Source organism: Homo sapiens, chromosome 11, assembly GCF_000001405.40.
Source record: "Homo sapiens chromosome 11, GRCh38.p14 Primary Assembly".
Taxonomy (NCBI): domain Eukaryota; kingdom Metazoa; phylum Chordata; class Mammalia; order Primates; family Hominidae; genus Homo; species Homo sapiens.
The window spans coordinates 113,799,468-113,819,509 of NC_000011.10; the positions used below are offsets into that span (position 1 = coordinate 113,799,468).

General features: G+C 40.2%; 1 protein-coding gene across 51 annotated transcripts in view, besides 1 other annotated feature; it reads right to left on the reverse strand.

Annotated features, from left to right (window-relative positions):
- Nucleotides 1-20,042, reverse strand: part of USP28 (ubiquitin specific peptidase 28) — a 77,698-nt gene that overhangs the window by 1,593 nt on the left and 56,063 nt on the right. For 24 of the 51 annotated variants that reach the window (NM_001400807.1, NM_001400809.1, NM_001400813.1 and 21 more), the window contains 11 exons: nt 18,191-18,370; nt 15,707-15,915; nt 14,418-14,488; nt 12,809-13,037; nt 9,596-9,787; nt 8,831-8,970; nt 5,401-5,579; nt 5,206-5,284; nt 4,331-4,410; nt 3,691-3,814; nt 2,016-2,211 (listed from right to left, as the gene is read on the reverse strand). In NM_001400807.1, the coding sequence (NP_001387736.1) occupies nt 2,016-2,211; nt 3,691-3,814; nt 4,331-4,410; nt 5,206-5,284; nt 5,401-5,579; nt 8,831-8,970; nt 9,596-9,787; nt 12,809-13,037; nt 14,418-14,488; nt 15,707-15,915; nt 18,191-18,370 (1,679 nt within the window). Of the gene's footprint in view, nt 1-2,015; nt 2,212-3,690; nt 3,815-4,330; nt 4,411-5,205; nt 5,285-5,400; nt 5,580-7,021; nt 7,118-8,483; nt 8,670-8,830; nt 8,971-9,595; nt 9,788-12,808; nt 13,038-14,287; nt 14,489-15,706; nt 15,916-18,190; nt 18,371-20,042 lie in introns of those variants that run through there. The other 27 variants (NM_001346268.2, NM_001346261.2, NM_001346269.2 and 24 more) reach the window with 6 other exon arrangements.
- Nucleotides 7,169-7,218: a silencer, noted in NCBI's record as "silent region_3911". NCBI's record gives its function as "represses an Ori minimal core promoter by ATAC-STARR-seq in GM12878 lymphoblastoid cells {active_cell/tissue: GM12878}" and the evidence as "EXISTENCE:reporter gene assay evidence [ECO:0000049][PMID:35858748]".

Below are 20,042 nucleotides of genomic sequence, written 5' to 3' on the forward strand. Positions count from 1 at the left end.
AAAGTGAACAAGCCTTCTATTAGCCCCTTACCTAACCTCAAAGGTCAAAGCATTATGCTGGCCAGTTACTAATAAATGATTATTCCTTCAGGCCAAACCAGGAGCAAAGGCAAATAAACCAAACTTTAGCTCACTGCTATATAACAACTATATAATTACTTTATTACGAAAGGGTCTTCTAACCAATTGTCTTCTTAAAATACAAGGAAGTAGATATGATACTCTAGCATAGATATGATGGTAATTATTTTCTTTCAAATGTTTACAATATATCAGTGTATACACATGGTTTTAAATCAGGGGTGTACAGTCTTTTGGCTTCCCTGGGCCACACATGAACCTCACTAACAATAGCTGATGAGGTTAAAAAAAAATTCATAATGTTTTAAGAAAGTTTAGAAATTTGTGTTGGGCTTCAGGTTGGACAAGCTTGGTCTAAATAAAAACTGAAGACAGTAAAGGGAAACACATGGCAACTAGCTATTACAGGATTTTTAAATAAATACTATCAACTTAAACACTTGAACAAGTCAATGGAATATCTTTTTTTTTTTTTGAGACGGAGTCTCACTCTGTCGCCCAGGCTGGAGTGCAGTGGCGCCATCTTTGCTCACTGCAAGCTCCGCCTCCCGGGTTCACGCCATTCTCCTGCCTCAGCCTCCCAAGTAGCTGGGACTACAGGTGCCCGCCACCACACCCGGCTAATTTTTTGTATTTTTAGTAGAGACGGGGTTTCACCATGTGAGCCAGGATGGTCTCCATCTCCTGACCTCGTGATCCGCCCACCTCAGCCTCCCAAAGCGCTGGGACTACAGGCGTGAGCCACTGCGCCCGGCCTTTTTTGTTTTGTTTGTTTTTTAAAGATAGGGTCTCACTCCAAGCTGGAGTGCAGTGGTATGATCTTGGGTCACTGTAGCCTCGGCCTCCCAGACTCAAGCAATCCTCTCACCTCAGGCTCCTGAGTAGCTAGAACTACACTATACCCAGCTAAGTTTTCATTTTTTGTAGAGGCAGGGTCTCACTATGTTGCCCAGGCTGGTCTCAAACTCCTGGGCTCAAGTGAGCCACCCACCTTGGCCTCCCAAAGTGCTGGGACTACAAGTGTCAGCCACTGTGCCTAGCCCCATCAATAGAGTATCTCTATGTCAGTGAGAACCTAACAAAGAGGATTCATATCAGAATATATAACAATTTTCCAAGTCTACTGAACTCACCTAAAAACAACCAGCTTTACATTCCCTCCTTAAGATGCTTTAAACAAGCAAGGACAGTCCACTAATTAATCTTGAAGTCATCATAGTTAATATGCTATATAACTTCAAGCCACAGAAAAAATTCATCAAGGCACCCCTCCCATAACCATACTCTGCATGATTTTTTTTTTTTTTTTTTGGATATGGAGTCTCATTCCGTGGCCCAGGCTGGATTGCACTGGTGCTATCTCGGCTCATTGCAAACTCCGCTGCCCAGGTTCAAGTGATTCTCCTGCCTCAGCCTCCCGAGTAGCTGGGATTACAGGCGCCCATGACCACACCTAGCTAATTTTTGTATTTTTAGTAGAGATGGGGTTTCGCCTTGTTGGCCAGACTTGGTCTTGAACTCCTGGCCTCAGGTGATCTGCCCACCTCGGCCTCTGAAAGTGCTGGGATTACAGGTGTGAGCCACTGCACCCAGTCAGATTTTGATTTTTAAACTATAAAAGAGTTCATCTTTTGGCACATGAGAGAGTAATGGAAGTCTGACATTCCTGGAGAGCAGTGACTTTTTTCAAACCAGGCTTGTTGGTTGCCCATGGAGGTGATTTGGCAGTCATGGGGAAGCTAAAGGGAGGTTAAGAGGGGCAGAGGCCCAGGCTCCCTCCTCTTGTTTCAATAGAGCAGATCCATTTTTAATTTACTTATATGCTAGAAGGTTCCAATTCCTTAAAAAGGTTTGGCAACCAGTGCTATCAAGTGAGAACACTGAAATTTCTACAATTCTCAAAACCTCAGAATATTATTACCAAGAGCATATACCTGCAATATCTTGCCCAAGGTAAGAGCACCAATGGTTTCTCATGACCTCAATGGCATCCAGATCATCCTTGGAAATGTCATTATTAATGATAAGGTGAATGCAGGGGATGATCAGTTCATTCATCACATTAATGCCCTCAGTTACGGAGTGATCATCATTTGTTTCAAAAAGAGAAGCTGCTTTGGCATTCAGCTCCTACAGATAAAAGGTAGAATTAGGTGGGGAAGAGTCTGAAAAAGATAAATATCTCTTTAATAACAGTCTAAACAAGTGGTTCCCAAACTTTACTGCACATTGGATGTACTTAGGGATCTTTAAAAACTACTGATGCCTGGTTCCCACTTCTGATAAGCTGATTTAATTAGTGTTTAGATGACCGGGACACTGGGATTTTATGAAAGCTCCCAAAGTGATTCTAATGCTGTAAAGTTTATGACCCATTGGCCTAAACTTGTAAGTCAAGGTCATGCTTAACACCTGTTTCAACCAAAGACCTGTTCACTGGTTGTCTATCTCCTCTGAGCATCAGAATCACCTGCAGAAGACACACTGATGCCCAGGGCCCTTCCCAGGGATTCTGGTTTAATTGCTAGGGAGAGGCCTGAGCTTCACGACTGTCTGAAAGCTCCCTATATGATTCTGATGCACACTAGGGGTTGGGACTCAATAATGGAAAGAGTCTAAATCCCTATAATTGCATTACTTCAGAAGCTGAGTAGGATATTCAAAATGTCAATCTATTTGGTGATTTAAAATATAAAAACATGGCTCTAATAAAATTCAGATCCATCAAACCAACAAGATCCCTTTTCAGCTTCAAAGTGGCCCTGCCACACCTATAACTAATACAGATGTCAAAGTATAAATCAGAAAATAAAGCTATTGAGTATATGTCATGACTTAATCTCACCCATTCGGTATGAACAAGGTAAAGGCAGTGGTAGAAATATTGGCCTGACTTCTGTGAAGGGCAAATTTGCTGGGTATTGGTGAAAACACACACAAGCCCACACTCTGAAGGCAGGCCACCCCTTTACAGTTCTCCAAAGGACACACATCACATAAACCCCTGGGGAGGCAAGGGGATGTAGGTCTGCCTTTCCATGTAGTTATACAGTGCAAATCAGGCCAGGAGAGAGTTAGTCTTCACTAGTATGTGACAATGATGTTATCAGAACAGCAGGACCAATTCTTACAGTTCCTACCTTTATTTTAAAAAAATGGAGTGTCAGAAGTCACTAAAACTTTAAGTCTACCAGCTTAAATGTGAACATGGAAAAAATGCTGCATTCCTTCCACACACATTTATTACATGGTTCCTACATGACAGGCACAGAGGAAATGGCTGAGTGAGAAAAGGATCTGAGCTCAAGGAATTTACAACCTAGTAGGAAAGCAATGTGATAAAATCTATAATGCAGGCATACATGAAGGGCACACAGAGGGATGACTGATTCTCATCTTAACTTCTATCAGTTATCATTGAAGAAGAATGACATTCACTAAAAGTAACTGAAAAAAAACCTGTTCCAATGTAAAACTGTTCATGAGAATTTTGGGGGGAAATCTACAACCTGTTGGAGATAGTCTGTTTTGAAAGCCATATATTTTCCTGGCTTCAAGGAGCAGAGGTAAACAACAAAAAAACCTTAAGGCTTTACAAACAGTACAAACCAGAAGGCATTTTCTTCGGTATAAAGCAATCACGGATTCTTTGACCCCCCGGCGGGGCCCCTTCATCAGCAGGGCAGCATTGCTCTGGTAGGCATATACCAGGTAGGAAAGTGCCTCTTGGTACCTTAGAAAAATGGGAGATAAACAACAGCTGAGTGCTCTTTTACTAAAATCTAGGGCTTAGACCTCACTTTTCCCCATTTCAAGAACCTACTTGGCTGCAATTCTGAAAAAGTGAAGGACCAAAGACCGTAGCCAGTCTCATCTCTTCTACAAATTGGCCTAGCCATCCAAAGCAAATATGAAACTTCCCTAGGCCTCAGGTTTTCCCATCTCTAAAACAAGAAATGCTCACTAGGGTCTATGTCAACTCAAAAATTCATTTTCTGAGTTCATCTTCATTGATCACAAAGACAGCCTGGCACAATATTATCTCGCAGCTAATACATCTAATCATTTGAAGGATGAAAAACCATGTGTGATGTTTAGAGCAAAACCAAAGCACTGCAAGAGAAGAGGCACACTAGTGTATGTGACAAGGGAGGTTATGCATGGCTGTGACTCTTAGTATTCCCAGGTAGGCATCTACAGAGAACAGCATCCTGACTAATAATCTTGGTAAAATAAAAGGCCAACATACTTTCCTTTTTGATAGAGTTCTAGGCCTGTTAGGAGATACACAGACACTTTTCGGAACAAACTATAATCTTCATGCCACTTCTGAAAAAGAATGACGATTATTAATAATCATGATCATAATAGATTGTTAGTGTCCTTCCCATCTAAGTTTTAAATTCATTACAAATATTTACTGAGCACATCTGGCTAGCCACAAAAATAACAAACAAAAGCTTTCAGATAAAAACCTACTCAACATTTAAAATAAAAGTCTACCACTGACCTTAATTTTCAATGTTCTGTTCCTTTCACTTGAGTAACAGAAGTACTTATTTCCTACGAGCTTCGGATTTTATCCTAATTTCTAACAGCTATGTAAAAGATATTCAGCTCTAGCTTAAGTGAATGACCTCTTTAGGACTGGTAAAACCATCCAGATATTGAAAATATGGAAGGACACGGACATTTCTAGTCATACAGAGCAAGTTCAAGTTCAGTAAGTGTGGTGAATACACCTTGGGTGGTACATAACATTGTTTTACATGGGATGCAATTGAAAACATGTGTAGCTATGTATTTTAATGCGTATTTTTAAAACTTTATCATTTAAAACAAACCAAAAGCATGATTTCAAGAATTTTACTGCCTAGGACAAGGCTAAAATAGGTATTTAAGGGAAGTGAAATGTTGACTCACTCTAAATGAAGAATGAAAATAAAGAGACCTGCTATTCTGAGGGCAAGAAAATATCATTTATCCATTCTTTACCAGGATTTTGAGGGGAAAGTGGAAGAACAAGTCAGTTTGTAATAGCACAAAATTGTTTATTTTGCCTCAGGTACCATTTACCTCAGGAATTAATGTTTTTGCTCTATAGACTTAAAGAAAACACTTTACCTTGTACTCTTCCATATTCATGTCATCTGGACCAATTTCCTTCAGTTTCGCTTGAGCCACCTTCATAATGCTGATTGATCTGTGTGGGACAAAGTTCAGAAAGCAATGAAAAGGCACAGGGCAAAACTTCCCCAACAGAGGAGTCCATCTAGCCCAACCCAGACCAAGGGATTCACCTGAATATTCTCTTCTCACCTTTCATCATAGCTAAGATTTTTATCTGCAAACTGTTCCAGAAGGGTTCGTTCTACTACCCTTTTGGGTGCTTCATTTTGGAAAAAGTAGACAAGGACATGCTGAAGTCGAGGATCACTGTGAGAGGTGGGGGTCTCTTTGGCAAGCTGATAGAGCCTGGAGTATTCTTCATGGAATGCCTATTAAGGGCAGAATCAATGGTTAGAAAATAGTGTGCTGTGGGCTTCTGCACACAGAAATTGATGCCTAGGAGCTAGGCAGTCTCTTGACTCTAAAAAGACTTCTAAAAAATTCATATCGAATTACAAAAACAACTATGGAATTTTTAAGTTTCTTGCATTTCATAAGGGATGAAACTCTTTTAGCATTCTGGCACCAAAAACATACTGTACTTTTTTTTTTTTTTGAGACAGAGTATCACTTTGTCACCCAGGCTGGAGTTCAGTGACATGATCACAGCTCACTGCAGCCCTGAACTCCTGGGCTCAGGTGATCCTCCCACCTCAGCCTCCCAAGTAGCTGGGACTACAGGCATATACCACCATGCCCAGTTAATTTTTGTATTTTTGATAGAGATTGGGTTTCGCCATGTTGCCCAGGCTGGTCTCAAACTCCTGAGCTCAAGCAATCCACCCACTTTGGCCTCCCAAAGTGCTGGGATTACAGGCATGAGCCACTGCGCCCAGCCTACTGTACTCTTAAGAAATTCAGTTTTCTCATAAAGTTCTCAGAAAAACAAATATTTAGTTTTAATTGTTATAAAAGGCAGATCCTTGTGTGTCAATGACTTAAACTTAAAGAATCTATACAAATGCAATTTTACTCAAGTATTTTTAAAAACACAGCCTACTTTGTTATGGCCTCAAAATTACAAAGGCACAATCTAACTCAGTGTTACTAACAGACAACTCCTAACAACAACAATGAAAAGCCCTCTAGGCTAGGTGTCACAGAGAATGTTACTGCTAGCCAAGGCTGGGTTAGGGTCAAGAGAAGAGAAGTGAACAGCTTGTTCATCAGTTGGACAGGAAAGGAAGTCTCATATTTCACTTCACAGAAGACTTTTTTTTTATTTTTTGGAGACAGGGTCTCACTCTGTCACCCAGACTGGAATGCAGTGGCACAATCATGGTTCACTGCAACCTTGAACACCTGGGCTCAAGTGATCCTCCTGCCTCAGCCTCCAAATTAGCTGGGACTACAGGTATGTGCTACCATGCCCAGCTAATTAAAAAAAAAAAAAATTCCTTAGTAGAGATGGGGGTCTCACTATGTTGACCCGGCTGGTTTTGAACTCCTGGCTTCAAGCAAGCCTCCCTCCTGGGCCTCCCAAAGTGCTAAATTACAGGTGTGAGCCACTGTGCCCAGTCCTTTTTATTTTTAAAGAGATGGGATCTCATTATGTTGCCCAGGCTGGAGTGCAGTGGTGCAATCACAGTACATTTCAGCCTCCAACTCCTGAGCTCAAGTGAGCCTCTACTTCAGCTTCCTGAGTAGCTGGGACTACATGCACACACCACCACACCCAGCCTTAACCCCATTTTTTCCCTTCTTATAGAATTATTTCCCCAATATTATGATGCCTATATTGTAAGAATTAGAATTTTAAAAACAGAGATACCTTAATCAGCCCTGCTTCAGACCCATCTCGGTCAAAGGTCTGACGGGCTTTAGCTATGGCCAGGATGACCCCTTGCATGGCAGGGCTCAGCATCACCTACCACAAGGGGGCACAAAACACAGAGAGAAAGGAGAGAAGAAAGGTTCAGCAGAAGACTGTATGAAAGCAGGCTGAACAGAGTGCTAAAGGGCAGCAGAGCAGTGTGCTCTTTGGCCAGCATGTATTGCAAGCTGAGTTTCACACACCCATTCCTATGTGCACCCACTGCCTCTGTCCTTCTATATAATGTCAACACCCTGCCCAAGACAAGCTATTCCTACGCTCTATGTTCTAATTCAGTAGGATAAAGAAAGATGTATGCCTAAAAATATCTCCCAATATGGCACTGCTGAAGAATTAAGTTAAATTATAGTTCTCAGAGGGGAAGTGTCTAAGGTCAGAATTCCAATTTAGTTCTGTACTTTGGGTGTATATCTTAAACACACAAATACTTTAGAGTTTTACTAGGATAAACAGTACATTTAAAATAGTCTGGAAACTAGCGACTATACAAATATGACTCCATAAAGTAAAAACTTTTCAAGGACTTTTTTTTTTTTTGGGAGACAGAGTCTCGCTCTGTCGCCCAGGCTGGAGTGCAATGGCGTGATCTCAGCTCACTGCAACCTCCGCCTCCCGGGTTCAAGCGGTTCTCCTGCCTCAGCCTCCCAAGTAGCTGGGATTATAGGTGTATGCCACCATGCCCAGCTAATTTTTGTATTTTTAGTAGAGACAGGGGTTTCACCATGTTGGCCAGGCTGGTCTTGAACTCCCGACCCGAGGTGATCCACCCGCCTTGGCCTCCCAAAGGGCTGGGATTATAGGCGTAAACCTCCGTGCCCAGCCTTGTCAATGATTTTTTTTTTTAAATACCCCACAGAAAAAAAACAGAAATCTGAGAGAGACAGAATTCATTATTGTTTATGTGCAGTGCAACTGAAGAGGAGACAGACAACAAACAACTTGGGGTTCTATAGCTTCTTCCTATAGAATTCCTTTACAATTAAAAATAACTTCAATCCACATTTGTTTAGCTCACTGGACAACTGAAAAATTTATATCTGGAGGTAAAACAATGGACTAATATCCAAAAAAAAGATTCCCTATTTTAAATTAGAAGGCAATCTTTTGTCCATAATACCAAAAAGGGAACTTAATTTTACTTTTCTGAGCCATCTAGACTCTGCAGTGGCCCCATTAAGTATAAGCCTGGGTAGATATACATATGCTGGGAGCGCTATACAATAGAAACATGGCTATCTTTTAAATAATGGTAACTAAGGTCAAAACCAAATAGGCTTTCTTGACAATCATTTTTTGCAACGAGAAAATATCAGCTATTGGCAGATACCTTAATATAGTCACAAGAGAAGGAAATATAAGACTGACAACAAACAACTATATCCTGCACTCATCTCTGTACCTCCTCATCATATCCATCTGCATCAGATCTAACCAGAATCCTTCCCACACTGGGAATCTCGACTTCAGAGACCTCAGAATTAGGCTGGGCAGTAGACTCTGCATCATTAGCCTTTGGGGGCTGTTCTGACTGCTCTGCAAGGTTTGTTTCCTGGGGCATGGGCTTCTTGGGTTCAGCTTCTTTAAGCTGTGGCAGCAGAGTGGGGAGAAAGAGTAAGAAAAAACAGGAGAAATAAATAGGGGTTGGTTAAAGGCAGCAGAGACACAGAATAATAGAAATGTGAGAAAACTGGCCATCGCTGCTGAAAGCCCGGCTCTCCTGAACTTGGGCTTCCCAGTCATTCTCACCTCACTCAGTGCCGCTTCTACACCGCTCTTCTCATAGGCACGGGCTGTGTTTGCAATAGCCTGGGCAGTTTGCTCCTTTACAATCACAGCATGCTCAGACGACAAGCAGCGAACCCCATGAGAAGAGGCTACTGAAGGCTCTGATAAAGAATTGAACAAAGGTCTTAGCATCTAATGATAAATAGTCTAGAACACTCAGATAAAAAGCAAGCAGAATGTATACAGTTTAATATACAACCCTGTTAACACAGCTTTTTACAAAAGCCTATGCAGATTTTCCCTAGAAATTAATAACTATAAGAAATGGCTACTTCAGCAAGAACTCTATTGATAAAGTCTGTAAACTTTGAACCCACAGATGATTCTGTAAAATTTAATGCACTCCCAACTTTGTCATATTTCTATCCATTAAGAAAACTTTCTACAAACAAGCATCTTTTAGGAAGATCACCTTTGGAGAATGGTTTTCATAAAGTCTACCTATTAACCCTATCATAGTTTCTCCCATAACCTGGGAAATAAGCAAAACTATATACACAGTGAAGGTCACAGGTAGTTAGTCTTTCTGATACTGCTTCTGTTCATCAGAAATCACATTCTAATGCCACAATTCATTCCATCAGGTTGTACCTGGCATACCAACTGTATATGAAATATACTGTGAAGACTGTGGCATCACCTAGCCAGCTGAAGGGTATAGGGCTGGCTAGGGGAGTACAGCATGAGATGTTACTGGATCACTGGCATAAATGCCTTCTCAGATACCTTGTGATGTAGAGTAGTCCTGTGATGAGGAGTTGGTGGAGGACTCCATTTGAGGGATTTTGCAAGACTGCTCTTCTTCCCACTCCTCTACTTCCTGCTCAAACCGCCAGTTATCCTCCTGAATGTAATGCTTGAGTTCCACAGATAGGGCTTCCACTTCTGACATTTGATCTGATTCAGTTGGGGCTGCCTCTGAGGAAAAGCAAAGATAGAGTTAAAAGGTCACAAGGAACGAAAACATCCTTTTTAGAAAAGAAGAAAGCAGGGTATTTCATCTTTATCTTACTCCTAACTAAAAATACATGCACATAGAATCCATCAGAAATGCAGGCTGAGTATCTCTTATCCAAAATGATTGGGACTAGAACTGTTTTGGACTTCAAATTTTTTTCATATTTTAGAAAATCTGCACAATTAGTTATAGTTGAGCATCCCAAATCCTAAAATCCAACATCTGAAATTCAAAATGCTCCAATGAGCATTCCCTTCCAGCATCATGTAATGAAAAAGGCTCATAAAGTTTTGTGGATTTTGGAGCATTTGGGATTTTGGATATTCACATGTGGGATGCTCAACCTGTATGGACAATGTAAGGGCAACAATTGATAACAGTGCCTGACATTTAGTAGGCACTCATTAAACATCTGCTAAGTGAATGAATAACACAGAGTTAAAGATATGGAAAGTGGGCCGGGTGCAGTGGCTCACGCCTGTAATCCCAGCACTTTGGGAGGCCAAGGCAGGCCAATCACTTGAGGTAGGAGTTCAAGACCAGCCTGGCCAACATGGTGAAACCCTGTCTCTACTAAAAAAAATACAAAAATTAGTCAAGCGTGGTGGCGCATGCCTGTAATCCCAGCTACTTAGAAGGCTGAAGTGGGAGAATCGCTTGAACCTGGGAGGAGGAGGTTGCAGTAAGCTGAGGTTGCGCCACTGCGCTCCAGCCTGGGAGACAGAGTGAGACTCCATCTCAAAAAAAAAAAAAAAAAAAAAAAGATTTGGAAACTGGTCACTGTCAATCACTGGATATACCAATCATTTCAGGGAAATTCAGAAAATCATTAGAGCCAATAAAAATTTCAAGATAAACAGTTTTATCCATTTAACCACTGCATTTGGCGGATAAGAATGTCCATTTCAAAAAGGTTAGAGATGAATTTCAAGACATTTATACCACCAACTTTCATACAATTCAGTACTATGAGAAAGCAATTTGATACAATGGTGAAATGGTCAATAATACCTGGCTTTAATGGCAAGGATATCAATGACATATAAAATTTCATTTTCTAACCCTGTGACCAAAACAAACAAAAAAAGTCTATAGCAGATTAACACATTCACTTACTGGTTGCCATTAATCAGCCTTTTCACTAAGCAAATGACAGTTTCCACTTGTTTGTTTCTATAATAGAAAAATAAACCATGCATGCAATAACAAGGCTCCTATATATTAACAACAGCTAGTACATTCAAGCAGCTATTCATTCCTTCGCAGCATAAATATACAATTGTGAAGATTACTTACTGTTCATTTATCATTCTCTCCATTCCCTAATCCCCAACCACACTAGCAAATCAGAAAGATAACGTGCTGCCTGGACAGAACACCTTACATGTTTGTTTTTTTTGAGACAAAGTCTCACTCTGTTGCCCAGGCTGGGTGCAGTGGCACGATCTCAGCTCACTGCAACCTTTGCCTCCCAGGTTCAAGCAATTCTCCTGCCTCAGCCTCCCAAGTAGGTGGGATTACAGGTGTGTGCCACCATGCCCAGCTAATTTATGTATTTTTAGTAGACACAGGGTTTTACCATGTTGGCCAGGTTGGTCTTCAACTCCTGGCCTCAAGTGATCCGCCCGCCTTGGCCTCCCAAAGTGCTGGGATTACAGGCGTGAACCACCATGCCGGGGCGATGTTTCCTTACTTACGCCACACAGTAAAGTTTGAATACTACAGGCAAAAGCTTTCTACTATCTTACTTATAAAATGTTCATCATAAGACCTCTCATAGAGGATGTGAAAGAAAGAGAGAATAATGTAAATTGAAAACACCACAGAATTTGGAGAATTGTATTTGAATCTTGGGACTGCCATTTATTGACTATGTGATTACTCAACTTTAGAACCCTTTGGAATCTGTTATCCAGCTGGAAAATGAAGATGACAACATTTTCAAACTCTTTCCCTCCTTTTCACAGCTGTAAGTTCTTAGAGAAATAAAAGTTTGAAAGCATGCTTTAAGAAGTAAAGTACCAATATAAATGATAATTATTATTGCTCTCTGTATGAGTAGTAGTATTACAACAACTGTGAAACTATTCAGGCAAATACACCTGTAAAATTTAGTTATTCTGGGCCCCACAACTGTAATCCCAGCACTTTGAGAGGCCGAAGCAGGCAGATCACCTGAGGTGAGGAGTTCAAAAACACCCTGGCCAAGATGGTGAAACACCGTTTCTACTAAAAATACAAAAATCAGCTGGGCATGGTGGTGGGCACCTGTAATTCCAGCTGCTTGCGAGAGTGAGGCAGGAGAATCACTTCAACCTGGCAGGCGGAGGTTGCAGTGAGCTGAGATTGCGCCACTGCACTCCAGCCTGGGCGACAAAGCAAGACTATGTCTCAAAAAAAAAAGAAAGAAAAAATTTAGTTATTCTCCAAAGGGTGCAAAAATATATGTACTATCAGCACCATAAGATGGGGCAAGAAAAAAAAAAGATGTCACTAAAAACAACAACAACTAGAGAATTAGTCTATCTACGAGTAAATTTTAAAAATACGTATATTCCACACAATGAATTACTATATAGTTGTTAAACAGTTAAGATTCTTTTACTAAAAATATAGAGATTGCTAAATACTCGATTAATGAAAAAGGTTCAGAGTTGAATGGAAAAATAATCTACTTGGGGAAAAGGGGGAGGGGAAGATACAGATAAATAGAATCTAGCATATGTATACAATGTGTCTTGAAGACTACATAAGAAACCTAACATTGTGTACTTGTTGGGAGTGGGACCCATGGTCAAGGAAGAAAGTAGTAAAGCAAACTTGTTTTTCCTTTTCATTTCCTTTTATACTGTCTATATTTTTTAAATCTATTATTATATAATAGTAAGTTGTAAATTTTTTAAAAAGCAGTACAAGACTGTTCTTCTCCCTGAGCAGTACAGATTTTCCCCAATCTATAGATTCTGCCAAGATACTTTTACCTGCATTGAAGTAGGGTAGTTTGTCATTAATGTACATCAGACAGTAAGCACTAACATTTCTCAGGCCTCCATAGGAATCTCTTTCAACTTCTTCCCAGGAAGATTCAGTAACAGAGATGTCATTGTACTTGAGCCAGCTCTGTCGGGGTTGATTATAGATATAGGCCCAATAGTGTCCAGCATTTGCTTGTCCTTCATGAACAAGAACTGCATGCAAGCGATAAGGCACCTGTAAGTCAGAATGTACATTCCCCAGTCAGGTGAAGCAAAGTAATCTGATAAAGTTTAGGTTATTAAGAAATTACTGTTTATGATGTGATTAATGTGGGGTTCATATTAAAACATCTTGTTGATTCAAGATGAAGTCCACAAAAACACAGCCTTGGAATTGATCAATTATGTCTCAGTTCCAAAACCTTGAAAACCAGATCGCTGAACTACATGACCTCTCTGAAGACTCTTTCAACTCTAAACTCCTCAGATCTAAAACCAAACATAACCTAAACATATGCATCCTTCTAATTCAAAACTCTGTTTATCTAAAAATAGAATCACCTTGACCACTCATGCTGAAAATGCTTAGCATATTTGGGACCTACAAAGGTTAGCAGCTATTTTGTTCCATGCCTATTTTATTTGGCAACAAAATTTAAGTTAACATATTTAATTCAGCCACATGCTTCTTAGAGTTAAGTGACCACTTATCTATCTGGAGTGAAGACCCTTTTAATGACATACTTGTTTGTTACAACATTTGAAAAGCACATTTGTGTATTTTCAATATAGAGAAAATAGAGCAATGCTTAAATGCTAACTAAATACTAGTAAAAGAGATGAAAGTCAGTCACAGAATCAAATTAAATTTACACTTACTTTGACCTATTTTAATTACTGGTGAAGATTTTTGAATTAACACAAAAGAAAAAATGGGGAAGCCTGCGTTTTACATGGTGCATTCCTGTTAAGCAATGGGACTGTGCCTCAATGCCATTCTAGAAACAGGGCTCCCCTCCTCCAAGCCATTCTGCCCATTCCAGTCATTCATACAGAAGCCACTGAAAGTCCATGCCCCTAACCAGAATAGGTTCAGAGACACTCCTGGAGGCTCTTTACCCCTCCATTCCCAGAATTTATTCTAACAAACACTTCTGTGGATAGTTAAGAATTTCTGTCCTAACTCTCTTTTGGAATTTATTATTACAGAAATAAAGCTTGAACGCATGTTGTTAAATTAAAGATCTTGAAGAATCATGGAACTTTGGGAAAGAAAGGATAACTGTTCTCTAGTTCAGTTTTTCCCACTGCACTACTTAAAGTACCATTTTGTAAGTAATTTTTATTAGTATCTGACAGCAAACCTTTCTACAATATGAAAAAATTCCATGTGGCAGAATTCAAACAAGTATGTGTTAGGTCCTGTTTTTGGTAAAAGGTATATTGCTTTCTTTAGCCTAAAATAAAGAAACAGAACAACATCAATTTATATCTTAAGTTTATTCTTTTATCTTAGGGGGATTCCCATTGGGTTTAAAAGAAAACTATCAAATTTGATTTTTGTATCTACCATTAGCACATGCCTTGACTACTTTCCCATCAATTTTCATTCTACCTGACGAAGGAGAGGATCGCAGTACATCTGTTCAATAGTCTGAGTAGTACTTGCAATACAAGTCTTTAAATCTGTTTGGAAAAAGAAAAACAAAAGCTTCACTAAAATGATCTCATTCTATGTCACACAGGCTACTTTAACTAAGCAAAGAATATTGCTAGGGTCCTAATGATTTCAGCTTCCCTCTATGAACCACGAAGCAATATACAGTTTTAAAGCAGCTAGTACTTTAGGTTATGAAAGCTTTTAGTTCAATATAATTACATTAAGGTTTTAAAACATTATTTTTTATAATTGCCAAAATTTCTTAAAGAGTAAGCTGTTTAGGAAAAGATCTTAATGGGTCACTTGGCTGTAAAATGTATGCCTCAGACAGGATCTGAAATGAGAAAGCAGAACAAAGGGTAAGGCTAAATTTCTCTGAATAGGAATCTGGGAAGAATCTGTATTTTCCATCATCTTTTTGTTCCCTAGACAAAAGGAGACAGGAAGGGGGGTAAGGTTAGTCTGAGCAATATGGGCAATGAGGTCAAAGGGCTTTTTAAGAATACAATGCTGAATAATCCAATTTTACATTGTGCATACTGCTCAAATACCTCATTAACCTTCAGTAAAGCATGCTTCCTATAGAAAAGACTGAAGAGTAGAAGTCCAGAAAAGCTAAATGCTAAATCTGGGTCAACTTAAGCTGGAGTTCAGATAATCTACCACAGAAACAGAAATCAGTTGATGCAGAAAAATCTCAGCAAAGGTGATCATTTCCCAGAAATTTTGAGGGGGAGATCTTTCCATATCTGTATAATGGGGGTGTGTGAGCCAAGTTTACAGGGCACTAAAAGTGCAAAAGAAGTCACAATTACCATGTCAAAATTCAAAAGCATGGGCCAGACGTAGTGGCTCACACCTATAATCCCAGCACTTTGGGAGGCCAAGGCAGGCAGATCAGTTTTGGTCAGGAGTTTAAGACCAGCCTGACCAACATGGTGAAACCCCATCTCTACTAAAAAAAAAAAAAAAATCAGCCAGGTGTGGTGGTACATGCCTATAATCCCAGCTACTTGGGAGGCTGAGCCATGAAAATCGCCTGAACCCGGAAGGCGGAGGTTTCAGTGAGCTGAGATTGCACCACTGCACTCCAGCCTGGGTGATAGAGTGAGACTCCATCTCGGCGGGGGGGAAATTCTGTAGCATGTACAGTAATGTCAGGAAGTGTACCGAGGTGCTTAACCTCCAAATAGTCAAAAAACAGAAAAAGCAAAGAGTAACTGACAAATTTTAAAAGAGCCAACCTTGTATATCTTGTTCAATCTCACTCCTCCATCTCTGAAGACAGGTCTTAACAAAATTTATCTCCTCATCTGTGACTGTTCGTGGAGCTGGCTGTGAAGGCATTTCCATGGAAGACCGAGAAGATGTCAGTGGTTTAGACTTGGGTAAAGAATCTTCAGGAGAAGAAAAGGTACTTTCAACATCCTGAGAAGAGCTTTCTGTACTTGTACTGAGGAAGACAAAAATCATGCTCATATGATAATTTCCAAAAGATACCTTGGCCTAAATTATGTACTTTGGAAAGCAAGATGCTATATGAAAAAGTACAGGTATTCAGTGAGCATTAACTCTATAAAGGTACAGAGCCAACCTTTTTCTCTATCATCTCACGTACCACAACTGGCCTGTGAGGTAGATACTTTTCTATCCCTATTTTACCAACTGTGAGCCTAAGGTTTAAATAAATTAAGCAACATGCCCAAGTTCACCAAGCTGGAAGGTAATGAAAATGAATCCAAAGCCAGATCGGCCAGTCTTTAGCTCATGTTCTCTGATCACTGATTATTCCTTCCCATGAGGATGGGAAGAGAAGGAAAATGGAAAAGAGAAGACTAGGCCTGGAAGAATCAAGGAATCAACTACAGAGTTTACAAGATGAAGCCAACTAAAGTGACACTATCCTTCCTGGAACAAAATACACAGAAGGAAGAAAAAGGAAGCATCAGCTGAACATACAACTCACAGGAATACACACTAGGTGACACCTTGGAGAGTTCTGAGAGAAGGGCTTCAAGTCAAACAATCCTAGCTCTACTACTTTAGCTAAATACCCAAGGAAAAAAGTATTAATATCTCATCTACAAAATATAAATCTTAAGTTCTTTACGTCTTTTCTGTAAACTAACAGAGAATAAAGCATATCAAGTAAATGTTAATTTCTCTATTGTCAGAGTAAAACTGCAGGTCAACAAACCAGCAGGAATATAAAATAAGCTTCTAATTGTAGTTAGGTTTCTCTTTTACACCAAAGCTGAAGAATATAAACTTCCTTTACTTTGACTTAAAAAAAAACTCTCACTCCTGCCGGGTACGGTGGCTCACGCCTGTAATCCCAGCACTTTGGGAGGCTAAGGAGGGCAAATTACCAGGTCAAGAGATCGAGACCACCCTGGCCAACATGGTGAAACCCCATCTCTACTAAAAATACAAAACTCAGCTGGGCATGGTGGCACGCCTGTAGTCCCAGCTACTTGGGAGGCTGAGGCAGGAGAATCGCTTGAACCCAGAAGGCGGAGGTTGCAGTGAGCTGAGATCATGCCACTGTACTCCAGCCTGGCGACAGAGTGAGACTCCATCTCAAAAAAACAAACAAACAAACAAACAAAAAAACCTCACTCCCTCCTCCTCACTCTCTCACATGCACAAAATAATGGAGGAAATCTCTTTTCCCTAAGGTCCATACTTATGGAAAAATAAGCCCAACAAGGGAACAGATATCTCAATTTCAGAGGAGATTACACACATACACCTCCCTGTAATTTTTAAATCTAATACCAAGCACTATTATTTTATTTGATTAAATAGCCTGCCGAACCACTTTTTAAAAATTAAAACTTTACATTTCATAATATACATAAAAAGATTCTATTTTTACAAAAATTAAAAAATTTAAGTAGAATATAAAAAGTGAAAGAGCAGCCCCACTCCTATCCCCAGACTCATGTCACTCCTTAGAGATAATCATTCTTGACATTTGGTATGTTCTATCCAAATAAGCATTTCTATGCATACATGGATGAATAAATATTAATACGTGGGGCGGTGGCGGGGGATGTGTTGGGGAGAATAGTTAAGATTTTTTGACAAAAAAGTCTAACTTTTTATTGAGTATTAGTGTTTTTATTAGCCAGGTAACACATATCAAATGTCCTAGCTACCTTTCATGGCTCCTCTAGGCAATAAAGATTGTTGCACATGACTGGATGGAATAAAATCAGAGGGCTCCTGTGACTTTGCCTCCCTCTGCCTTTACTAGAGAAGCCCCTCTAAGCTGTCCTCTTATTTCTAGCCAGTTCTTTTTCAAGTACTAATTTTCTATTCAAGAATAAGTCTCTCTTTCCTTGATGTTTCTTAGTCATGCATACTTCAAGTGTGTGAGCATGAGATGTTTTGGAAGAGCAGGGCTTGAGGTTTCCTCTGAGAAAGGCCTTTAATGGCAGCTGGCTTGTAGTTCAAAACAAGGCATCACTGGGTGGAGCCTGAACACTATCCTGAACAGTTTGAGAAGCCTCTGAAATAACCCAACCATTCTACGGATAAGACAAATGCACTGGTGGGCCCACTCCCACCCAAGTGACAGTCAGCAAAACCCTTCCCTTTAAGACAAAGAGCTCACAGCTCCTGTGCTCTTATAGGTGACTGTCAATCAAGTACAAAGATGGTGCATAGTTTAAATTATACCAGAAAAACAATACATACCATTAAAAAAAAAATGTTTTCATTACCTTTCCTTGGATGTCTGGTCAGAAACCGAGCAGTGCACTGAAGAAAGTGGTAATGTCATATGTGTGTCACTTTCAGGTGGACAGCTTTCTGAGGCAGGTTTTGTACTAGCAAATTCAATAACATATTTCAGCATGTCCGGGAGCGGGAACCGAGCTGGGCCTGAGCCATATTTCACATACCTAAGCGACAAAGACAGTGGTACTCTACTGCCCAAGGCTGTTTTGTATTTTAAGAGTCGCTGACAAAAGATCTGTTTATCACAGCAAGTCAATGGAAAGGCTTATTCCTAGAGGCTATACAATATTTAATAGGGTCCTCAAACAATCTATAGGGTAAAAATTCTCTAACTACAAAACTAAAAATTGCCAACAATCTGAAGTTTTATATCTGGCAGGAAACATTTCAAATAGGCTCCTAATCAAAGTCATGCCAGTTACACTTTCTCATGATGTCATATTACATTTAGGCTTTGGTCATTTATTTATTTTTTATTTTTTGGTTTTTTTTTTTTGAGACAGAGTCTCCCTCTGTTGCCCAGGCTGGAGTGCAGTGGCGCTATCTTGGCTCACTGCAAGCTCCGCCTCCTGGGTTCACGCCATTCTCCTGCCTCAGCCTCCCCAGTAGCTGGGACTACAGGAACCCGCCACCACGCCTGGCTAATTTTTTGTATTTTTAGTAGAGACAGGGTTTCACTGTATTAGCCAGGATGGTCTCGATCTCCTGACTTCGTGATCCACCCGCCTTGGCCTCCCAAAGTGCTGGGATTAAGGGCCACCGCGCCTGGCAATTTTTAAGTCATCATTTTACAACTTTAATTCTTCCCAGGTTTGCTGCATTTTAATACAATACTTACACTAAATCCCAAGAGATTTTTTTCTTTAAGAAACTTATCTTCAATTTTATGACATAACAATTTTCAGCTGGGCATGGTGACTCATGCTTGTAATCCCAGTACTTGGGGAGGCCAAGGCAGGTAGATGGCTTGAAGCCAAGGAGTTCAAGACCAGCCTAGGCAACATGACAAAACCCTGTCTCCACAAAAAATGAAAAAAATTAGCCAGGCATGATGGCACACTCCTGTAGTCCCAGCTCCTTGGGAGGCTGAGGCAGGAGGATCGCTTGAGCCTGGGAGGTTGAGACTACAGTGAGCCAAGATCATGCCACTGTGCTCCAGCCTGAGTGACAGAGTGAGACTCTGTCTCAAAAAAAGCAAAACAAAACACCAAAAAAAAAAAAACAAAGAAGACAAGACATAATCATTTTCATGTTCATCTACTGAATTCCTTTATACAACTTTTAGGACCAACTACTTCATACAATGTACACCTCTATCAGTTTAGTAGAATCAGAGCAAAAGTGGTTAAAAAAAAGATGTCTATACTATACACAAGAAATTCAATTTTCAAAAATATATCAAGGTTATCTTACAGAAGAAGAAATAGTGAGCATTTTTATTCTTTTTTTTTTTTTTTGAGACAGAGTCTCATTTTGTCACCCAGGCTGGAGTGCAGCGGCACGATCTCGGCTTACTGCAACCTCTGCCTCCTGGGTTCAAGCAATTGTCCTGCCTCAGCCTCCCGAGTAGCTGGGACTACAGGTGTGCGATGCCACGCCCAGCTAATTTTTATATTTTTAGTAGAGATGGGGTTTTGCTGTGTCAGCCAAGCTGGTCTCGAACTCCTGATCTCAACTGATCCACCCACCTCAGCCTCCCAAAGTGCTGGGATTACAGGTGTGAGCCACTGTGCCTGGCCAACATTTTTATTCTTAAACTGTAAAAGTAATGCATGTACCTGGTACGAAAATTCAAATACAAAAAAGTATAAAACAGACCATAAAAGTCATCTACCT